This window comes from Homo sapiens, chromosome 18 (assembly GCF_000001405.40).
Source record: "Homo sapiens chromosome 18, GRCh38.p14 Primary Assembly".
Taxonomy (NCBI): Eukaryota; Metazoa; Chordata; class Mammalia; order Primates; family Hominidae; genus Homo; species Homo sapiens.
In genome coordinates this window covers 433,452-457,032 of record NC_000018.10, presented here as the reverse complement: position 1 = coordinate 457,032, position 23,581 = coordinate 433,452, and the positions used below count along the sequence as shown (strand labels likewise).

At 41.8% G+C, this 23,581-nt stretch overlaps 1 protein-coding gene across 2 annotated transcripts in view, besides 1 other annotated feature; it reads left to right on the top strand.

Annotated features, from left to right (window-relative positions):
• COLEC12 (collectin subfamily member 12) overlaps positions 1–23,581 on the top strand; it is a 183,965-nt gene that overhangs the window by 43,669 nt on the left and 116,715 nt on the right. The gene's annotated exons all lie outside the window — the stretch shown is intronic.
• Positions 9,590–9,884: a silencer, noted in NCBI's record as "tiled region #14658; HepG2 Repressive non-DNase unmatched - State 24:Quies". NCBI's record gives its function as "represses a minimal TATA promoter and a strong SV40 promoter by Sharpr-MPRA in HepG2 cells {active_cell/tissue: HepG2}" and the evidence as "EXISTENCE:reporter gene assay evidence [ECO:0000049][PMID:27701403]".

Here is a 23,581-nt window from a genome sequence, read left to right as displayed (position 1 = left end):
CATCCTAACAAAATGCCGTGAAAATGCTGCGGAAAAGCAGTAAAATACTGTCTTTAAGACCTGCGAGCCGAGAAGTGGGAGGGCTGGCACTTCACCAAGGAGACAGAGTACGGGGCTCAGGGTCCTCAGGTATATAGGCATTCCTGCCTGGCTCTTCCTTACCACCCGGATTTTGTTTTTGCTTTCTGGGTAGAGCTCTGATGTTGCCAAACAGCCTGTGCTCCTCGTGAACAATCTCTCCAGACTCAAAATAGCGAGCAGCCAAGGGGCTGCCACTGCTTGCGGTCCACAGCTCAGTCAGCGGGCTGCTCTTTGTTGGAGAAGAAAATACGCCTTCTGGAAATCTTACAGGTTACATCGTTTATTCTCAAAACACAACATCAGCTGCCAGTGGGTTTCCAGTAAGCTGCAAGAGCATTTAACCCAAATGGGTTTGTGACCTTCCTAAGCGGAGGTGTGGGAAGGCTCTAGTGAAGTGTGGTGAACAGATCGTCGGTAACGCAGAAGTCATCCTGCTGTTCCGGCACTGGAGGCAGAGCCCGGCCAACTGAGTATTTCTCCAGAGGATGTTTCTGGGCGGCCTTTCCCTCCTTGTGTAAAGCGTCTCATCTGTGTGGGCCTGGTTTATGAGTACAAGTTGCTCACGGCACATGATTGGCCCTAACTCCCCAGTGCTTTCTGGCACTCTTAAACCAGCGAGGGGTTTGTGTTTTGTATGAAGGTTGTGGAACTAGAGACAGCATAGCACCAAGAACTATTTTTGGTCTTCATTGAGAACTCAGACTGGGCATAGTAGCTACAGTGTGCCTGTTGGGTTTTAATGCTGTCATGCCTACCTCTGTGAGACAGGATAAAGGTGGAAGTCAAATGTTTTTCTCCATTCTTTGCCTAAGATCAATTCAGAAAAGTAGTAAAATGCTCCATAGAAGGTACTGCAAGACCCTCTTAAACCAGCCAGCCTCCCACCACGTGCTTTGTCCTACCACCTGAGGGCTGACGTGGTCTGATTTCATACCCTGCCTGGGTTGTGCTTGATACACTTAACTATTGTGTCAGTTAAAGTGTGCTGTGCTGAGCACTATTTACAATAGCAAAGAACTATTTACAACCCAAATGCCCATGAATGGGCAAAGAAAATGTGCAAATGGGCAAAGAAAACGTGACACATATACACCACAGAATACTATGCAGCCGTAAAAAAGAATGAGATCATGTCTTTGCAGGGACATGGACGAAGCTGGAAGCCATCATTCTCAGCAAACTAACACAGGAACAGAAAACCAAACACTGCATGTTCTCACTCATAAGTGGGAGTTGAACAATGAGAACACATGGACACAGGGAGGGGAATGTCACACACCCAGGCCTGTCAGGGGAGGGGGGGGCAAAGGGAGGGGGAGCATTAGGACAAATACCTAATGCATGCAGGGCCTAAAACCTAGATGATGGGTTGATGGGTGCAGCAAACCACCATGGCACATGTATACCTATGTAACAAACCTGTACATTCTGCACATGTATCCCAGAACTTAAAGTAAAACACTGGCTAACATGGTGAAACCCCGTCTCTACTAAAAAATACAAAAAATTAGCCAGGCATGGTGGCGGGCACCTGTAGTCCCAGCTACTCAGGAGGTTGAGGCAGGAGAATGGCATGAACCCGGGAGGCGGAGCTTACAGTGAGCTGAGATTGTGCCACTGCACTCCAGCCTGGGTGACAGAGTGAAACTCTGTCTCAAAAAAAAAAAAAAAAAGCGTAAAATAAAACAAAACAAAAATAAATAAAGTATGCTGTGCTGTTTTTACCACATTATAGCATCACAATGCCTTTCATTTCTATTTATCTCCCAGTGTAACTTTCCGCTTAGCCACAATGCGGCCATGGAGCGGGAAGCAGTGATCTTTAGCCTTGTTTCTCTCTGGCCTTCTTGAAGGATGCTGTGGGTTTGTGCTAATAAAGGTGGCTCTACTGGTGAGGGGATGGGAATGTTTCTGGCAGGAGTAAAATCAGAAGCATCTGTGATCGTCAAGTATGATTTTGTCAACATGTGTCTTTCATTGAAAATAAAACTCAAAATTCTGAGTATAGGAAGCCCTTTCTAGCCAGTCCAAATGGCTCAACATTTATTTGTTCAGCTATTTATTGAGTATCTGTCATATGCCAGACTCTGTTTTAGGCTCTGGAAATAGTTGTAGAATGAGACAGAAAAGACCTGCCCTCATGGCAGATGAGAAGACAGGTAACAAACTAATCGAAAACCGTCATTCAAATAGTGATAAATGCTAGGGAGAGGACAAGGACAAGGGAGCAATAGAGAGGAGTGGCTATTCTGTTTTATTTATTTTTTTGGAGACAGAGTCTCACTTTTATCTCCCAGGCTGGAGTGCAATGACGTGATCTCGGCTCACTGCAACCTCCACCACCTGGGTTCAAGTGATTCTCCTGCCTCAGCCTCCCAAGTAGTGGGAATTACAGGCGCCTGCCACCACATCCAGCTAATTTTTGTATTTTTAGTAGAGATGGAGTTTCACCATGTTGGCCAGGCTGGTCTTGAACTCCTGACCTCAGGTGATTCACCTGCCTTGGCCTCCCAAAGAGCTGGGATTACAGGTGTGAGCCACCATGCCCGGCTGATGAGTGGCTGTGTTAGATAGGGTGGTTAGGAAAGGCCTCTGGGAGGAGGTCATGTGGGAGTGGGAACAAGAACAGAGTGAGGGAGGCTGTGATTTGGGAAGCGCATCGTAGCCTCATGGTGTGTGGGAAGTAAAAAGTCCCTCAGGTGGAAACAGCATGGAATGTTCTAGGAATAGAACTAAGCCAGCTGTAGCTACAATAGAGTGGCGGGGAGATGGAGGAGATGACGTCAAGAAATAGGGCTAGAATATGTTGAGACCAGGGGGCCCATGGGGAGGGCTTTGGAGTCTATGGAAAGCCTTCAGAGGGCTCAACTAGAGAACGGATATGTTTCATAACATAACCCACTCTGACTGCTGAAGTGCGGAAGCAGGGAGATCTGTAGGAGGTTGTGCCTCTAGACTAAATCAGAGGTGATGGTGTCTTTGATTAGAACACTGGTCCTGGAGATGCTGAGAAGTGATAAGATTTGGGATGTATGTTAGAGGCAGAGCTGACCAGGCTTGCTGATGTGGCTATCAGGGAAAGAGTGAGATTAAGGGTGACTTTTAGGTGCTTGAGCTAAGCATCTTGCTGAACAGGGGTACATTTATTGAAGGGAGGAGCAGATTTTGAATTTTGTCTTTATTATGTCAAGTTTGCGATGCTTATTATACATTCAGTGGAGCGTAATTGCATGAGTCTGGATCTGAGTCGAGAAGTTGTGGCTGCACATAAAAATTAGGAGTCTTTAGCATAGAGCCCAGGGACTGGATGAGACCACAGAAGAAGAGAGTATAGACAGGGAAGATAAGGGCTGAGGACTGAGCCCTGGGGCATTATTTAAGTTGAGAAGAGGAGGGAGAACTTAGCATTTAGCGCTGACAAATCCAAATCCTATGTGTCTGGTTCCCTCACTCCCAACCACACAGCTCTGTGTTCTGTCTCTGTCTCTGTGTCTCTCTCTGTATCTCTGCATGTGGGTAGCTGAGGGTGGGGATGCTGGTCAGGGGAAACTGGCTGATAATTTTCCTCTTCCTCCTCCTTCCTCATCCTTCTCATTTTCCAGTTTCTCTTCTCTCTTCCTTCTCCCTCTCATTTCTTTCTTGATTAATTCTTAAATTCTAGAAATCCCCAACCTGGCCAGGAGTGCCTCTTGTCCTTGTGTCTCCTAGCACGTTCCTATCTTTGGTGATCTCCAGAACAAGCCAGTGACACTGATCATACGATGCTAATTTAGAATTCTTGCTTGCTAAGTTCACTGACACATCTTAAGAGGGGAAGTTGGACTGGGGTGGAGAAAGAAGCAAAATAAACCACCAAACCCCAGAGACCTCTCTTTGTTGTTCAGAAGTTCTCCTGTGTATCAGAAGATGGACTTGGCAGTGTGTAATAAAAGATGACTCTGGTTTCCTGCTGGTTTTTAGGATGATGTCTTTTGGTTACATTCTTTCAACTTGTAAAATATTAACTTCCAATTCCCATGGGGGAGGACCCCTGAGTGGTGCTATTTCAGTGGGACAGAATCACAGCATTCTTTCCCACCTCCTTAGCTGCCCTGTGCTCCACTTGGAAGCACCTGTGGCCAAAGCTCATAGGCACTTGTGTGGCAGGAAGAACAGATGTGAAGTTCTGTGGAAAAGAAATACAACACAAATTGGCAGAACACAGTAACTTAAAAAATAAATCTGAAAGTCAGTCCTGGAGAGCCCATCTTTGGGTCCTGGCTTTGATTGGAAAGAGTTATGGTTTTGTTGGGGTAATAGCAGCTGATCTTTCGTCCTCCCACAGAATCCTGCCAGAGCCAACACTTGGAAGCACACAGCTAATGAGAGGATTTCTTCCAAGGTTCTTAACCAAATGCTCTTTGATAGTGGTGGTTGTGAGGCGGAGGAAGATGCTTCTGCTGAAGAGGGGGTTCCTAGAAGCAGCAACCAAAGCCCTTAAAAGAATCAACAGCGATCATTATATAGCCACCATTTAGTGAGAGCTTACCATATGCCAGGCACTGTGCTGTACTCCCCGTTTCATCTCAATTAATTCTTACTATAGCGCTATAAGAAAGTATCCCATTTTATCAGTGAGGAAACTGAGGCTTAAGGAGATTGTATAAATTGCCCAAAGTTATAGGCCCATAGATGGTAGAAGTTTGAAACCACATTTGCTTTCAGAACCCAAGCTCTTAATCTAAATCATATATTGAGCACAAGGTGCACAATTCAAGTTTTTTTCCAACACGGTGTATGTGAGTGATCATTGATGCCAATGAAATTTATTCACTCAACAATATCTATTCTGCTTAACACTAGATCACGCATAGTTGGGCATTTAAAGATATGTGACGCTATTCTTTTTCTCGAGCAAGTTACCATCTAGGTATGAGAAAAGGCTTCATCTTTAAAAAATAGAGAAGAGTTTAAGGCTGTATGTGATGAAGTGCCACAAAGTTCTCTGAAATGCCTTCCAGGCCTTCTCCCCATTATTTTGGATATTATTAATAATACTTGGCTCCTCTTTACTTACGTGAATTTCTGTAGGCACCTTGATTTCCTCCCCCTGGAAATGGTCTTTTCTTTTCTACCACATGGCCAGGCTGCAAATTTTCCAAACTTTTACACTCTGCTTCCCTTTTAAATATAAGTTTCAATTTCAGGTCATTTCTTTTTTTTTTTGAGATGGAGTCTCGCTTTGTTGTCCAGGCTGGAGTGCAGTGGCGTGATCTCGACTCACTGCAACCTCCGCCTCCCAGGTTCCAGCAATTCTCCTGCCTCAACCTCCTGAGTAGCTGGGACTACAGCCACCTGCCACCACTCCTGGCTAATTTTTGTATTTTTTAGTAGAGACGGGGTTTTATCATATCATCCAGGCTGGTCTTGAACTCCTGACCTTGTGATCCACCCACCTCGGCCTCCCAAAGTGCTGGGATTACAGGTATGAGCCACCGCGCCTGGCCTCAGATCATTTCTTTGCTCATGCATATGAATATAGGTTGTTAGAAGCAGCCAGGCCACATCATAAATGCTTTGCTGCTTTGAAGTTTCTTCCACCAGATACCCCAAATTTTCCAAACTTTTGGGCTCCGCTTCCCTTTTAAATATAAGCTCTAATTTCAGGTCATTTAGGTGGAAACGTCCAGCAGTCAGTAAGATGTGAATCTGAAGTTCATAGGAGGGGAAATGGTCATAACATATGTGAGAGTGAAAACCATGAGAATGGATGTGATCACTGACAGGGAGCAGGCAGGAGGCAGGAGCAGGAGTCAAGGACAGAGCCCTGGGGCATGCCTACTTGAAAGAGGTGTATGGAGGTGTGTATGTTCATTCATATGCTCACGCATATGAACATAGGCTGTTAGAAGCAACCAAGCCACATCTTGAATGTTTTGCTGCTTAGTAGTTTCTTCCACCAGATACCCTAAATCATCACTCTTAAGTGCAAAGTTCTACAGATCCCTAAAGCAGGGGCACAGTGTGGCCAGACTCTTTGCTAAAGCATGGAAAAAGTGGCCTTTACTCCAGTTCCCAATAAATTCCTTATTTGCATCTGAGACCTCCTCAGCCTGGCCTTCACTGTCCACATCACTATCAGCATTTTGGTCACAACGATTTAACAAGTCTATAGGAAGTTCCAAATTGTCCTTCATCTTGCTGTCTTCTTCTGAGCCCTCCACACTCCTCCAACCTCTGCCCATTACCCAGTTCCAAAGCTACTTTGATATTTTCAGATATCTTTGTAGCAATGCCCTACACCTCAGTACCAATTTTCTGTATTAGTTCTTGCACTACTATAAAGAAATACCTGAGACTAGGTAATTTATAAAGAAAAGAGGTTTAATTGGCTCACAGTTCTGCAGGCTGTACAGGAAGCATAGCAGCTTCTTCTAGGGAAGTCTCAGGAAACTTAAAATCATGGTAGAAGGTGAAGGGGAAGCAGGCACATCTTAATGGCCAGAGCAGGAGGAAGGTGGGGGAGATGCCACACACTTGTAAACCACCAGATCTCAGAAGAACTCACTCACAATACAGTGCCAAAGAGGGTTAGTGCTAAACCATCCATGAGAGCTCTGCCCTTATGATCCAGTCACTCCTCCCAGCAGGCCCCCCCTCAACATTGGGGATTACAAATCGACATGAGATTTGGCGGAGACACAGATCCCAAACCTTACCAATGACCCAGTGAAATAGGCGGAAAAGACATTTTCCGAGAGCTGGAAGGAGAACCAAAAGAGTGTGGTGTTATGGAAGCCGAGAGAGTTTTAAAAAAGAAAGTCCTTGTGTTTTCATCAGTAACTTTGTTGTGTATCAGTGTTTTCCCTTCATGTAACTTAAATGTCCACTAATGCAAGTGAAGGCAATCTATGCCTAATTTCTTCACTAAATATTCTACTAATAAATGATTTACTGACAAAATGAAATTATATAACTGAAAAGGTTTAAAAATGATAAGAAATATCCCAATGGAAGCTGTTTTTTAAATAATGTTATTACTGTCAGTAACAAAATTATGATGACACAGGTCCAACACCTTTTAAAAGAGAGGAGGTAAAAAGGAGAGTTGGATATGAAGAATCTCAGACTGCAGTGCAGCTCTGAGAAAGTCTCAGCCAGGTACATGGGTGCCCGGGAGCAGAGATTGCCTGTCAGAAGGGCCCCATGAGGGCAGAAGTGACCTGGCTCTCGTGTCCCTGCCATGATCAGTCATTGGCTGTAAGCAGACTCCGCCCGGACTGTGTGGCCTCGGCAGGAATCACGGTGGCAGATTGAGAGGGGCAGTGCTGGAGGCTGTCAGCTGGCTAGGCATCCCTTATTGCTGAATAGCTTACTGAGGGCGTACCTCCGTGGCTGCCTAGTGAGTCTCTTTCTGTAAAAGCAGTTCAGTGTGGGAGTCCCTGAGAGAGAGTTTGCTGCAGAAGCTTCATTACAGTGACCTATGAAGCAACTGACAGCTTTGCAGAGTTTGTTTCCATTATGTTGCAGGTCTCCTTCAAAACAAGTTTTGGCACTTTTGATGCCAACTAGAGTGTAAACTATATTTTAGAGCGACTAGTTTAGAGTGTAAACAACAGTAAGTGGAGCAGATTTCCTCTCAACTTAGCCTCAAAGATAACCTCTCACACTAGAGTTATTTTTTTACCTAATACTTCTTTTTTTCCTGGTTACTGAAATCATACACACTTACTATAACAATCTGTAGAAATGTGTAACTTAGAGAGTAAAAGTCTTCTATAATATTCTATCCCAAAATATAATCATTGTTTTAAAAAGGTATGTATTCTACCTTAAAGTCCACTTTTATTGTTATATTTTACTATAACATTCTAATTATAATATTTTATTATAATTTATAGGTTTCAGTATGATTTCAATGAAAGATGAATTCTGGCAAACAGTATTTATTCCCCTTTCCCCGCTGGGTGTCATTTCTTTGGGAATAGAAAAATGACCTTGTTTTGTGTATCTAGCCAACAATTCTTTTTAATATTTGTGAGTATACCAAATGTACAATATTCCTTCAACTGAAGTAACTTTTTAAAAGAAACTAGAATTTATTCCTCCGTATGCTTTATTTTCATGAGGTTTGGGTACAGTATAGTAAATTTAAAAATCTTTTGAACTCTTTAAAATGGTCTTTGTACCTATATAATAGAAAAGGATCTGTTCAAAAAAATTCTTGCCACAAATTCCTTTTGATCATTTTCATTTACTTAATTGCTCTAATTTATGCTTATTTTTGTCCACTGACAACCTAATTGGCCTCACAGACTTCTCATTTTATTCAAAGTCCACCAGCAGTTACTTCTTTTGAATACCACCTCCCCTTTGGACTCCACGGGAATTTGGACAATAATTGTGATGGGTTTGGCAGGGGCTTGGGGGTTGGGCTGCTCATATATTATGAAAAGCCTTAGTAGAGAAAAATTACATTTCAAGTTAATTTGTTTTTATATAACAGAGTCTGGGTCTAAGCTTTCCTTCACCACATACCCATTGAGGGTTTTAGGAAGTCAACATGTTTACACTGTATCTTAAGTCAAGGGTCCTGTTTTTATACAGGGTTTGCCAAACCAAGTTTACTACAGTGGTGTTCTGCCAGCACAAAGATTACAGGATCAGACTTTAGCGAACGCTCGTTTGCCAGAGTCATGTTTTATCTATTCAACCCCAACCACCCTGATTCATTTTGGAAAGTCTACTCTGTTTATCCCACGATGATGACAAAGTGGTTAAAAAAGAAGATTACTACAAAAAGTGATATTTTCAAGAGAGACACAAAGGCACTGATACAGACAGGCTTTAGAGAAAGACAAACTTTGTGGTACCACTTGGGTATTTGAAAGCAGCACAATTATTTTTTTTCAGTCACAGGGAGACAACATTTTCCCATTGAACTTTTTGGATACGTATTTTCACACACACTGTGCCCAAAAGTCAGATTCTCTCCTCCATCCCACCCCTAACCCAAATTACAATTTAATTTGACTGCTGGCTGTTTTTGAAAAGAATTCTGAAAGTGATTGACCGCTACCAAAGATGAAGATTGTAGTTTTTCTCCTGATATGATTATATTCTTGATATATTCTTGCTGTAGGGGACAAAAAGTGATCAATAGCTTTATGCTTAGTAAAATCAGAGAGGACAGGACTTGCAATTTAATGGTTTTACCTTTATGTTTACTACATATTAGCAAAGTATCTAAGCTCTGGAAACTGTGTCTCCCTGTAATGTTGTCAAGTATATGTGGAGAGGTGAATTTTACAGAAGGAGAAACTGGGATTATCCTATCCCGCTTTTTACAGTGGCTCATAAAGAGCAATGTACTAGATTCTCAGCACACACAGGTTATGGATTGCTGTTTTTCCTGGAGTGCCTGTATGGTGGATCTGTTTCACTTGGTCTGGCATGGGAGTCAAATTCTATTTGCAAAGCCCGACTGGGTGGCCTCTGCTCAGCACGCCAGGCAAGAGCTGTGGGTGAATTTCCAGAAGTGGCAGGCTGCTCCCCTCTCCCTCTACCTCCTTGAGAAACAGAGGAAGTTCATGCTGCCACAGGGGAAGTGGAAGGGATGTCCAATTGCCTCTGAGGAAGTCATATCCTGCTCAAGAAGCAAGATCTCTTCCCATGCGGGAAGGTGCCACTGACACAGTATCTCTTAGATGGCATAATCATAGATGACCTGAATTGTGTGTAGAAAAGGGAGTTTACTGGAAGATACTATTTTTGTTGGTTAACAAAGGGCTGTAAGCCAAGTAAAGCCTGAATGTATGTGTCATCTGCATAGTGTGAAGAGGCTTTCATAGGGAGAGATTCCACGTGTGACTATCTGACCTAAAGGCCATGTAATTCCCATGGTGAAGTCCCTCCCTCCAAGCACAGGAGCCAGAGGAGCCCTTAAACAGCCATCCTCTTGGACGTGGAAAGATAAACACTATAAATGATCAAGGATAACTGTTCAGGTGGTACTGACCACTCTAGGTAAACTGTTAAGAGTTGAACATAGAATTTTTTCAAAAGCCTGTTGATGTATTTATGTGCCTCAGGACCTTTAAATTCTGAAGATAAATGGATAGAATGATTCAGGATGATTTAGGGAGAAGGCAGATGGAAAATGGGAATGAAATACATGCCTTTTTGTTTTTAGGGGTGCTCAGTTATAAATATGAAAGGCTGAGAAAATGCTAATTGTACAGTAAGATCAACTGGACTTGTTTTAATAAGACAATAATTTGAAATTAGTAAACTATTTTATACAAATAGTGCTAAAACTTTGGAAGGTCCTCAACCTCCTGGGCTCGAGCAATTCTCCCACCTCAGCCTCCCAGGTGTGTGCTCCCATGCCTGGCTACTTAAACAAAAAAAAAAAAAAATTTTTTTTTTTTTTTTACAGAGATAGGGTCTTGCTATGTTGCCCAGGCTGGTCTTGAACTTCTGGGCTCAAGTAATCCTCCTGCTTTGGCCTCCCAAAGTGCTGGGATTACAGGTATGAGACACTGCGCCTGGCCCAAAGATGATTTTTATAGTAAAAAGTTAAATATCATAACAATCTGGCAGTTCCTCAAAATTGAGTATAAAATTTTCATATGACCCAGCAGTTTCACTCTTAGGGGTGTGTGTTTGTGTGTGTGTATGTACGTATGTACATATGCACACGTGCACACACACACACATATATATATACACCAAGGAGAAATTAAAACATATCCACATAAAAACTTGTACATCAATGTTCATAACAGCATTATTCATAAGAGTGAAAAAGTGAAAGCAACCCAAATGTCTACCAACTGGTAAATGATAAATAAAATGTAGAATATACATACAGTGGAGTATTAGTCATAAAAAAGGCAGTATTTGTACATGCTGCAACATGGGTGAACCTTAAAACTCTTATGCTGAGTGAAAGAAGCCAGGCACAAAAGGCCACATATTATGATTCCATTTATATGAAGTGTTCAGAACAGGCAAATCTGTAGGGACAAAAAGTAGATTAGGCTGGGCGCAGTGACTCATGCCTGTAATCCCTACACTTTGGGAGGCTGAGGCAGGCAGATCACTTGAGCTCAGGAGTTCGAGACCAGCCTGGGCAACATGGTGAAACCCCCTCTCTACAAAAAATAAAAAATTAGCCGGGTGTGGTTGTGCACACCCGTAATCCCAGCTACTCAGGAAGCTGAGGCAAAGGAATCACTTGAGCCCAGGTGGCGAAGGTTGCAGTGAGCCAAGATTGCACCACTGCAATCCAGCCTGAGTGACAGGAGTAAAACCTTGTCTCAAAAAAAAAAAAAAGTGGATTAGTGGTTTTCTGGGGGCTGGCAGAGGTATGGGATTTATTTTTGGTGTGATGAAAATATTCTAAAATTGGAAAATTGGTTATAGTGTTGGGTATACAAGTCTTTGAATATACTAAAAACCATTGAATTGTATACTTTAAATGGGCATATTGTACGGTGTGGGGATTATACCTTGATAAACTGTTGTGTTTAAAAACATAACAGATAACCGTCAGATCTGCCCCATCAGAATTTCATAATTTGGCATAATTGGGGCTCAAACAAATGAGGCCTTGTGTTGCAAATATAGGCAACATCTGCAAGTTACCAGGAGCAAAGTTGCGAAATGGTAGCTGTAACCTAGGAGAGATGGATAATGATTTTTCCAGGATGCTCTGAAATCCACACTAAATGGAATCTGCTGGTGCATACTTTATGCCACATTGAAAGAACAAGTGCATGTTATTGCACTCTCTGGCCCACATTTCAGTCAGTTCTCCGTATGAAAATTACTGCCCTGGTCAGATCTGATTACTTTATTATATGTTCACCCCAGAGTGCCAAACTTCATGTGGGAAAACCATTTTCAACAGGAAGAAATGAACTGTGAATATCCTAAGAAGAGGGCAACAAGTCATATTTGACCTTCGTTTAAAAATAATACGTAAGGAAAAATTTCTTAATAAATAGACATAGCTTAAAACATGAAACGTAAAAAACCAAGCATGTAGTAGTTTCCTAGATCTGGAAAAGCACTGCACACGTCAGTCATGCATACCCTTCGAAACTGCAATTACTATAGGTTTGAGACCCCATGGGATGATTGGAGGATATTGTTTCTGACAACTTAACATTTCTTGCCTTAAGATAATATGGAAATATCACGTCAATCCCATTTGTTTGCAGATACATCTTTTTTAAAATAAAAGTTGTTTTCACATTGGGGTTAGTTTTCTTGTTTTCGCGCCTATATTTTAACCTATTTTAACCTTTTCTCTCCCCTCCCTACCTCACCCCCACCTCCAAAAAATTAAACTCTTTCTCCATAAACAAAGCTGAGAGTGTCAGGATTGGAAGCCACTTCTGAGGATACCATTTCAAAATTATATTAATGTCATGAAAACTGCTTCTTATATTTTACATTGAAATGTGAATATGGGCTTGTATTTTCTATTTCCATGGTTATTCACAGTACTGATGGTATAGAATTTTTAGGTTTAACTTCAGTTATGTCATTGGTTTTACCTGCCACAGCATTTTCACTGGATCAGCCCCCAGATATGGATTCTAGACTCTATCCCAGTGATCTCCAAAGTATGGTATAAACATAGAATAAACAAAAATAAACATTTGTCTATTTTTTATCTGAAAAAGAGACAGTTAATTTATAATACTATTGAATGTATCAATCATCATAGTGTATGTTTATAATTTATAAATAAATATGTGCATTCCGAAGGATACTTGCTCATACTTGTTTCTGATGAGGTTGTTTCATGGAAAAGTTTGGAGATCTCTTGTGTTAGTCCATTCTTGCATTGCTGTAAAGAAATACCTGAGGCTGGGTAATTTATAAATAAAAGAGGTTTAATTGGCTCATGGTTGTACCGGCTGTACAGGAAGCATGGCACCGACAACACTCGGCTCCTGGAGAGGCCTCAGGGAGCTTTTACGATCATGGCAGAAGGTGAAGGGAGAGTAGGCACGTCATATGGTGAAAGCAGGAGCAAGATAGAGAGTGGGGAGGAGACTCCACACACTTTTAAATGACCAGATCTCATGAGAACTCACTATCAAGAAGACCAAGAAGAACAATAACACCAAGTCATTCAGAGATCCACCCCCATGATCCAAACACCTCCTACCAGGCCCCACCTCCACCACTGGGGACTACATTTCAACATGAGATTTGGGTGGGGACAAATATGCTAACTATATCAGCACGTTCCTTTATTCTTTGCTTTCTCCTTCCCATGCTAACAGAACCCTTCTCCTTAGGCTCCAGCCACATGGTAGATTTCCTCCGATTCTTGCTCCCCTTACCCTACACCATGAGACGGAGGGGATGCAGGCACATATCTAAAGCCAAGAGTACCTTAAAGTTCACAAACAAACACATGTTCCCATGAAAACCTGAACAGACAACCACACTTCCAGAACCAACTATTTTTAACCACCATTTAAATAGAAGGCCAAAGAAGATACTTAAACAAAAAGTTAAAGTCGTTTCACTTTACTAACCAAAAGACATGAAAGTGAGATACAAGATAATTGAGCTTCCTTCAGATTTGACCTTTGGTTTCTTTCAGCCATGAGGAAATGGATGTATCAATTTTTCCAGATTTGGAGATTTTGAACAATAACTCCAATCTGAAAATACCAAAAGTCAGCTAAATATCCCTCAAGTACATACTATGTTTTAGATACTGTGGGAAAATCAGAAAGGTATGTGTTTTTAAGAGCTTACAAAGCAATTGGAAAGAGAATATATACATACAGAATATGTATTTTTCATGTACCATATAATTCCGTATTAACTAATATATGTATAGAAAATTAATGAACAGTCAGGATTCTATATAAGACAGTCTTGACACATTAGTGAAAAGAGATGACTCCTGCTAGCAGGTGGCTGGACCAGATGAACACTGCAGTGACCTGCAGCTTTTATTTTATTTTATTTATTTTTTTGAGACAGAGTCTCGCTCTGTCGCCCAGGCTGGAGTGCAGTGGCGGGATCTCGGCTCACTGCAAGCTCCACCTCCCGGGTTCACGCCATTCTCCTGCCTCAGCCTCCTGAGTAGCTGGGACTACAGGCGCGTGCCGCCACGCCCGACCAATTTTTTGTGTTTTTAATAGAGACAGGGTTTCACCGTGTTAGCCAGGATGGTCTCGATCTCCTTACCTCGTGATCCGCCTGCCTTGGCCTCCCAAAGTACTGGGATTACAGGCGTGAGCCACTGCGCCCGGCTGACTTGCAGCTTTTAGACAGATGCCTGTAGGATTGTGCAGAAGAGCTGGTAGAAAGGTTCTAGGAGTTTGGAGAAAGAAGGGGTCACCCTGGGCTGGAATGCTGAGAGTTTCATAGGCAAGGGAAACTTGAACTCACATAGAAGCAGCAGTATGTGTAGAGAGCAATGGGCAGAAATACACAGAACTCAACAGCTGAACCTTCCTTACTGAGGGGGCTAAGTCTGAGCTTGGTGCTACGCATCAGCATGGGTTTTCTCCCTTGGGCCTCCCAACAGCTCCACTGGGCCAGGCTTCGCTGTTTACCCAAGGTCATGCCAGTCAAGTCCCAGAGGCAGGCTTGGGAGAGAAATCAGGGCTGAGGAGAAAGATTCAGATGCCCTCTAAATAGACATGACAATCAAACTTGAATTTATAAGTCATCTCTGAAGGAAATATTGTGGAGATGGAAAATCGGAGAGCCACAGTAGCCTTTATTTCACACCTCTGTAACTTCGTCTTTTCTCTCTGTGTCATTTTCTGACTCTTACTCCTCAAACATCCCCAGCATTAAGGAATACAACATCGGATACAGGCTCAGGAATCCCACCCATAACCTTCTCAGTCCCCACTGACAGTCATCAGAAGCTGTGTGTGTGTGTGTGTGTGTGTGTGTGTGTGTGTGTGTGTGTGTGTGTGTAGAGAGAGAGAGTCTCACTCTGTCACCCAGGCTAGAGTGTAGTAGCATGATCACGGCTCACTGCAGCCTCAAGCTCCCAGGCTGAGGTGATTCTCCCACCTCAGCCTCCCAAGTAGCTGGGATTGCAGGCAAGTGCCACCACACCTGGCTAATTTTTTGTATTTTTTTTGTAGAGGCAGGGTTTTGCCATGTTGCCCAGGCTGGTCTCAAACTCCTGAGCTCAAGCGATCTGCCCGTCTTGGCCTCCCAGAGAGCTGGGATTACAGGCGTGAGTCCACACTGTGCCTGGTCAGTTTCCTGTTGAATTGTGTACAGCTACAACTATATAAAGAAAAACATTGTTAGTATTTGTCCTAATGTAAATTTTTATTGGGGCATATTCACTAGTAAAAGGAAAATATGAGCATGAGGTAGAATAGACACCATTGTTGTACAAGCATATGGACAGCGTCCTCGTCAGATCCATCGCCGTGAATGCCCCAATCTAGAGTCTGTACGCTGCACAGTACAAGGCTGTGTCTGCGTTGCGCACCATTATGTACTCAGCATCACATAGTGTGATGAACAGTTTGAAAGAGCACTAAATGATTAAGCCCAGTGTTTCTCAAAGTGTGTTCCTTGAAGATAGTTTCCAAAGATGGTCCTTATAAAAGTGTCCCTTGAGCTCACATAAGCTGCAGAGCATAGTTTTCTATGAAGACGTACAGTCCGTATAGCACTTTATTTTTTTATTATTATTTATTTATTTATTTTTTGAGACAGAGTCTCGCTCTGTCGCCCAGGCTGGAGTGCAGTGGCACAATCTCGGCTCACTGCAAGCTCCGCCTCCCGGGTTCACGCCATTCTCCTGCCTCAGCCTCCCCAGCAGCTGGGACTACAGGCGCCCGCCACCACGCCTGGCCAATTTTTTGTATTTTTAGTAGAGACAGGGTTTCACTGTGTTAGCCAGGATGGTCTCCATCTCCTGGCCTTGTGATCCACCCGCCTCGGCCTCCCAAAGTGCTGGGATTACAGGCGTGAGCCACCACGCCCGGCCTGCATAGCCCTTTAAAACTAAGCCCCGCTGTAGGGAGCCTATTTATATCTCCGTCTAACATGACATTTCCCCAAATCATCTGTTATTGTGAGTATTTGAAACTTTCCAAAACTCAGGTATCCTATAGGTATGATGGGGCTGACAAAATCTGTTTATCTAACTCAAATGTTGGAAGAATCCAATGCATTAACATATGTGAAAATGCTTCAAGTATAACTCTATACAAATGTAAGGTATTAGTACTATTTCCTAATTGCAGTTGGCCCTCTGAATCAGTGGACGAGGAACCCATGGATACAGAAGACTGATAAGGGACTTGAGCATCTGTGGACTTTGGCATCCCAGGGCATCCTGGAATCCGTCCTGCACAGATACTGAGGGATGACTGTATTGTTGCTATATGTGCTATTCTCCAAACTCATGAATTTTTTCGGCTTTGTTGAGGTATAATTCACAAATAAAATTGTACATATTTAAAGTATACAATGTGCTGATTTATGTATACAATGTGAAATGGTTACCATAAATATTAACACATTTATCCCTTCACATAGTTACCTGTGTATGTGTGTGTGTGTGTGTGTGTGTATGTGTGTGTGTGTGTGTTGAGAACATTTCAGACCTACTTCTTTAGCAAATTTCAAGTATATACTATAGTATTATTAACTACAGTTACCATGCTATACATTATTAGATCCTCCGAACTTATTCATCTTATCACTGAAAGTTTGTACCCCTTTAACCAGCACCTCCCCATTCCCCATCCCATGTCGCAACTACTGTTCTACTTTCTGTTTCTGTAAGGTGTTTTTTTTTTAAAGATTCCACATATGGTGATACCATACAATATTCGTCTTCTCTGTCTGGCTTACTTCACTTAGCATAATATCCTCCAGTTTCATCCATGTTGTCACAAATAGCAGAATTTCCTTCTTTCTTATGGCTGAATAATATTCCAGTGTGTGTGTGTGTGTGCATTCATACACACAACATTTCATTTACCCACGAATGTGTCAATGGACATTTAGATTGTTTCTGTATCTTAGCTATTGTAAATAATGCTGCAATGAACATGGGAGTGCAGATACCTCTTTAAGATACTGATTTTGTTTCCTTTGGATATATACCCAGAAGTGAAATTGCTGGATCATATGGTAGTTCTGTTTTTACTTTTTTTGCAGATGCTTCATATTATTTTCCATAATGACTGCACCAAATTGCATTTCCTCCAACAATGTGTAAGGTTTTTTCTTTTCTCTACACCCTTGACGACATTTGTTATCTCCTGTCATTTTTATAACAGCCATTCTAACATGTGTGAGGTAACATTTCATTGTGGTTTTGGTTCCAAATAGATGAATTTTATGATATGTAAATTATATTTCAATAACCTTATTTTTAAAATTTTAAAATAAATTTTTTAAAATCTTATTTTAAAAATACATTGGAAAAGTGCAAAAAAAAAAAAGAATCTCTGCTTCTGGAGACCATAAGGTTTAGAAAATTTGGTTTGTTGTGTATATTAGTTAGGGTATAATTCTCTCTGTGTGTGTTCCAGGTTTCTCTCTCTTGCTGGCCTAGATACCTCTTTCCATTCATTTGTTCATTGGTTTATTCATTCATTCATCTGACCAGTACTGAGCACCAAAGATCGTATATCATTTTGGTTGGTACAGGCATGTGGACAGTGACTCTGAATAAAGCAAAGACTATTTTAAGGAGTTCACAGTTTTGAGAAAAGGCAGACCTGGAAACAAGTCACTCACTATAAAACAGTGAGGAATATACCATTGTGAAAGTTTGAACAAGGAACAATGGGATGAAGTTGATTTCTCAGAGCAAGGAAACTTGCCTCATCTACCTGGGAAGATCTTGCCTCATCTTCTTCTACTTTTAGAGGAAGGCAGAGAGAGAAGTTTGAGTGAGATCTTGAAAGTTTCCCAGGTAGATGAGGCATGTTAAGGGCAGCCACTTCCTCTCCAAAATCATTATTTCTGCTTCCTTTATTTATTATTCCTTCCTTTTAGTTGCCCCTTTAACTCCTCACCATCATGGCCTCGTCTCCTAACTTTAGCTCTGGTCTTCTTTCTTCTGTGGCTTTTGAGCATTTGTAAATGTAGGGTAATTGGGACTTTCCAAAATGAGTATTTTTTTTTTTTTTTTTGAGACAAGGTCTTATTCTGTCGCCCAGGCTGCAATGCAGTGGTGTGATCACTGCTCACTGTAGCCTTGACCTCAAGTGACCCTCCCTTCTCAGCTTCCCAAGTAGCTGGGACTACAGGCATGTGCCACCATGCCTGGCTAACTTTTTAATTATTTGTAGCAATGGGTCCCACTGTGTTGTCCAGTCTGGTCTTGAACTCCTGGCCTCAAGTGATCTCCTGCCTTGGCCTCCCAAAGTACTGGGATTGCAGGTGTGAACCACAGCACCCAGCTGGAATGAGGATTTTTGATCTTCCATTGTATCTCTAATATGTTGTCTTTTTTTATTAAGTGCAGCTAAACTTGACTTATAAATCTTTAAATTATTGAAATTAAAATGACAAATACTTCAGGTTTTAGTATGTTTAAAATTGATAAATATTAAGAGTTGGCAGAAATATAGAGTATATTAAAATTTGGAATGAATTTTAGCTCCATGATATGGTTCTACTTTATATTTGAGGCTAAGCTGTCAACTTCGAAGATAAGAGAAAAAGTGAATTTTTCTTCTCTCAGGCTGGGTTGTAATAGCATGAGGTTTATGCTGGCACTTTGACTTTACAACATCTGAAATCACTCATATCTACTTTTTTATATCCAATAGTATCTCTGTATGACCAAATTAATTCCTTTTTTACATTTTATTCAAGAATATGGCTTTTACATTACAACCTAGCACATAGTCATCTTACTCCTTTTATAATTTTTTATAGGTTAAACTCAAAATATATTCAGGAGTTCAGAGCTGAATTATAATTGACTATAAACACGTAACCTATGTATGTAGCCTATAAATTTCTAAAAAGTCTATTTCTTTGGAACTATGTGTGCTATGAGATGACAGATCAAAGCTTTAAATCCTGTTTTCCCGAGTCTAGTTTATTAGTTTGTCAGAGAAATATTAGGAATTTTTTTACACAATTTGTAGCTCAGTTTGTTAAATGAACTGATAGATGCGACAAAGCTTCGAAGAAAAGTGGCACCTGGGAGAGGCTCACTTAACGCAACCTATTGTCATTAGTATTCCTTCTCCAAAGACTTTTCATTTAACTCAAATATTGTCATGTGAAGTATCACCATCCGGGTTGACTCAAGCCACTTATCCAAATCAGAATAAAACTTTTTAGCCCTGGAGTCATTTCCTGTCCTTTCTAATCGTACTTAGGAATATCGTAAAGAGACATAACTCAACCAGCCATCAGCTGAGCAGATGACTGCAAGTTCGTCATTCTGTGTGTCTGCACATACCCCACCAGCTCAGCCAACACCGACATTAGAGCTATGATAGAAAGGAGACTATGGAAACAGACTTGAAAAAAAAAATCCATTTTAAGTGGAGAGTCATGGGACAGGTCACAGTGGGCAGGTGAAAGAATTTTAGAGAAATGAAAATGCTGTGCAGGTGGTCACCCTGAAGCTAATTTAACTTGGGTCATCTGTGATCTGTTCCAGCTGTGAACATGTGCCTGGTGGCCCAGCGTCCCAGATGTTCTTTCTCGGTCTTTATGTTGTATAGCCCATAAAATTAAAACAGGATTGGAGTTTAATTCTAGGCCTTCACAGTCCTATCATCAGTGTTCAGTGGAGCTATTTTCTGAAAATGTAGGGTCCTGGTAAGAGAGGCCTTGGTTGGGCCAAGACAGCCTACTGTCCCCTGTAATTTTTCCTCAATGACTTCTGCTTCCATCTCTCCACTGCCTCCTTCATACCAGTCTCCAATTTTATTCTGCTCAGAGAATTGCTTCTCACCTTGGAAGCTCCTAGCTCATGTAATTGTGTGTTATGAACTAGACATTTCTGAAAAGCACAAGTATTGTGCTACTCATCGTTTTATGGCAAAATCAATTAATTAACAGATATTTTTTGAGCAGGTGTTAAGTATTTCAATATTGGTAACTCTACCAGCCATGGGAGGTATACAAAGAAAATGTAAAACCTGGACCTTGGCCTCGAAACTTGGCAGCTGGTGGTAGAGGAAAGGAGAACACACAGAAGATCATCAGAGAGCAATACCCAACCCTTCCATCACTGTCGGGGAAAGCCATGCACCCCCTTGTGATGTCTCCTTCTGCTTGTGACTTTTGGTTCAGGTGACTCCCAGATAGATTGGAAGTAAGGCCTGCAAATCCTAATTAAACACAGAGGAGATCTGTGTAATATCTACACCAAATCTACCTTTATAACATAAAACTCCAAATCTAAATTCCAGAAAGCCACCCCTGTTTCCCCCCCCCCCCCCTTTTTTTTTTGAGATGGAGTCTCGCTGTTGTCACCTGGGCTGGAGTGCAATGGCATGATCTCTGCTCACTGCAACCTCCACCTCCCAGATTCCAGGAAATCTCCTGCCTCAGCCTCCGGACCATCTGGGATTAATTACATGTACCCGCCACCACACCTGGCTAATTTTCATATTTTTATTAGAGACGGGGTTTCACCATGTTGGTCAGGCTGGCCTCAAACGTGTGAGCTCAAGTGATCCACCCACCTTGGCCTTCCAAAGTGTTGGGATTACAGGCGTGAGCCACTGCGCCTGGCCCCGCTTTGCCCTTTATTGCCTGCAAAATAAAAAGACCTCTTTCTCTAGCTAGTTCCCTGGCAGAGTGGGGCCTATGTGAGCAGAATTTTAATCACTAACTAGAGCTCTTTCACTTGACCAAGAAGCAAGAAGCAAAGAGTTGATGGCTAACTGGAAGTTACTTGTTTTGTAGCAATAATGTGGCTGACATACTATGCCCATTAGTCACAGATTCTGACTTAAATTCTCTCCAGAGACAACTTTCATACACATGGAAGATGAAAGGGGAAAGGTGAACAGTTATTAAGGATACCTGACTGCCAGAAATGCCGTCTGAGTCTTTTACCATCCAAATTTCTGTTGTCATCAGAAATAAGAGTGTAAAGTTCCAGGAAATTCTTCAGGCTGACCCATCAATATAATAGTTATTATCTTTCTACACTTTTTGCATTTTGAAAACAAATGAACTTCTTCAACTTATGTGTAAAAGGCTACTCAATATAATGTTAATATTAAGATTTGGGATATCCAAGATTTTCTAAAAGTAGGTAGAGTTCTGAATGCTTTGTCCACCTCTGGATAGTCAGAAAAAGCCAGCGTATAAAAAGAGACTTCAAATGTGTATTAGCCAGATAGAGAGAGAGAGAGAGATTTGGATTTAACTTCTGATATGGTTTGGCTCTGTGTCCCCACCCAAATCTCATCTTGAATTATAATCCCCATAATCCCCACATGTCAAGGGTGGGACCAGCTGGAGGTAATTGAATCATGGGGGCGGTTTCCCCATGCTGTTCTTGTGATAATGAGTGCATCTCACGAGATCTGGTGGTTTTATAAGCATCTGGCATTTCCCCTGCTTGGACTCACTCCATCCTGCCACCTTTGAAGAAGGTGCCTGCCTCTTCTTTGCCTTCTGCCATGATTGTAAGTTTCCTGAGGCCTCCCCAGCAATGTGGAACTGTGAGTCAATTAAACCTCTTTCCTTTATAAATTACCCAGTCTTGGATATTTCTTCATAGCAGTGTGAGAATGGACTAATACAACTTCTTATCCTTCTTCAAATTGGAAGGTCAAGTCAGTTACATTTTTGTGAATATTAATAATGTGCAAGAGAGTGTGCTCGGTGCCAGAATCTTTAATAAACTCAGAGTCCAGCTAGGAAAGTATAAATGAAAAGAATTAAAATATCAGAATAGTTGCTAAATAAACACCAGAAAGCTGCTGGTCAAAGTCAGGAAAGTTGTTGTGATAACAGGCAAGGCTGAAAGGATGCATATTCCAAGCTGAGCAAATGTTGTGAGCATGGCCTCGAGGTGGGGCACTTCTGGGAATGGCAAGTGGTTTGGTTCAATGGAAGGATATGTGGCTAGCCAGGATGAGAAATGGAGCAGGAAAAAGTGGTTTAGGCTAAAATCAGAGGGGTGCATTGGGAATAATGTTTTCATTAAAAGCTATTTGAAGGAGTCTGTAAGGAAAAAAAGAGCCACTGTATGTTCAGCTGGGGAGAGTGAGCTTCAAATATGTGCTTTTGGGAAGATGATTTTGATGGCACTATGACCAGGGAAGTGATTGGAGAGAGGAGATATCTCAGGCAGGAATTTGAGTTTGACAGTGCATTGCATCACTCCAGGCAGGAGTTACTGGCAACCTGAGCTGATGAGGACAGTGACAAAGAACTGTCAGAAGGAAGAGTGGCCAAGAGAGGTTTTGCAGAGGAAGAATGGGCCAGATGTGACTGCTTATGCAATATAGTAATGGAAACATGGACTCCGAGCCAGATCTAGTTCATATGGAAGCAAAACATTAGCCCCAGTGATAGAGTTGTCATGAAAATACTGTGTGCTGCATTTATCTTTCTGGATTGTTATCAGTCATTATTACTTTGTATTTTTGAAAAATACCTGCAATTTTAAACATTGTGTATCTTCTTTTGTTTCTTGCATTTTCAAATGATGCTTTGAACCACTTTTTAATTGTTGGCATATGCACTTACTGTATTTTATTGTAAGTATAAAGCGTATATCCTAATAATTCTCCTTCCTTTTTCTCAGACAATGAGAATGACTTAATGGTTTGTGGATAATATTTCAGTAGTGTTACATTTTTAGTAATAATAGCAATGACCTCATATAAGCGTAATGACTCACCTAGGGTATGAGTATGATTTTTATAGTAGACTTTGCAGGGTATTTGGCTCTTCTCTTCTCTTTTCTCTCTCTTAATTATGTTTGGAAGATTATAAGCTGCTACAAGCAAATCTCTTCTTAGCCTTTTTTTTTTTTTTTTGAGGCAGGGTCTCACTTTGTCGCCCAGGCTGGGGTGCAGTGGTGCATTCTTGGCTCACTGCAGTCTCAACCTACTGGGCTCAAGCGATCCTCTTGCCTTAGCCTCCCAAGTAGCTGGGATTACAGGCACACACCACCTTGTGAGGCTAATTTCTGTACTTTTTGTAGAGACAGGGTTTCGCCATGTTCCCCAGGCTGGTCTCGAACTCCTGAGTCCACCCAGCTTGGCTTTCCAAAGTGCTGGGATTACAGGTGTGAGCCACTGTGCTGGGCCTCTTTTTAGCCTTTTAATAAGCAGGGCAGACTCTGGATTCAGGATGCGATGATCAGGTCTGGCTTAGGAAGCCTTTTTTGTCTTCTGTGAGAAACAACTCCTGGAGCTGATTGGCTTTTGGGCTGAGTAACAGCTTGATGTCAGGGCCTCCTGGGGAATGCAACATCTCCTAAGAAACCAATGGTCTAGTTGCCACAGGAGTCTCAGAGAAAAAACTGGCAGTAGTACTCAAATAGCCT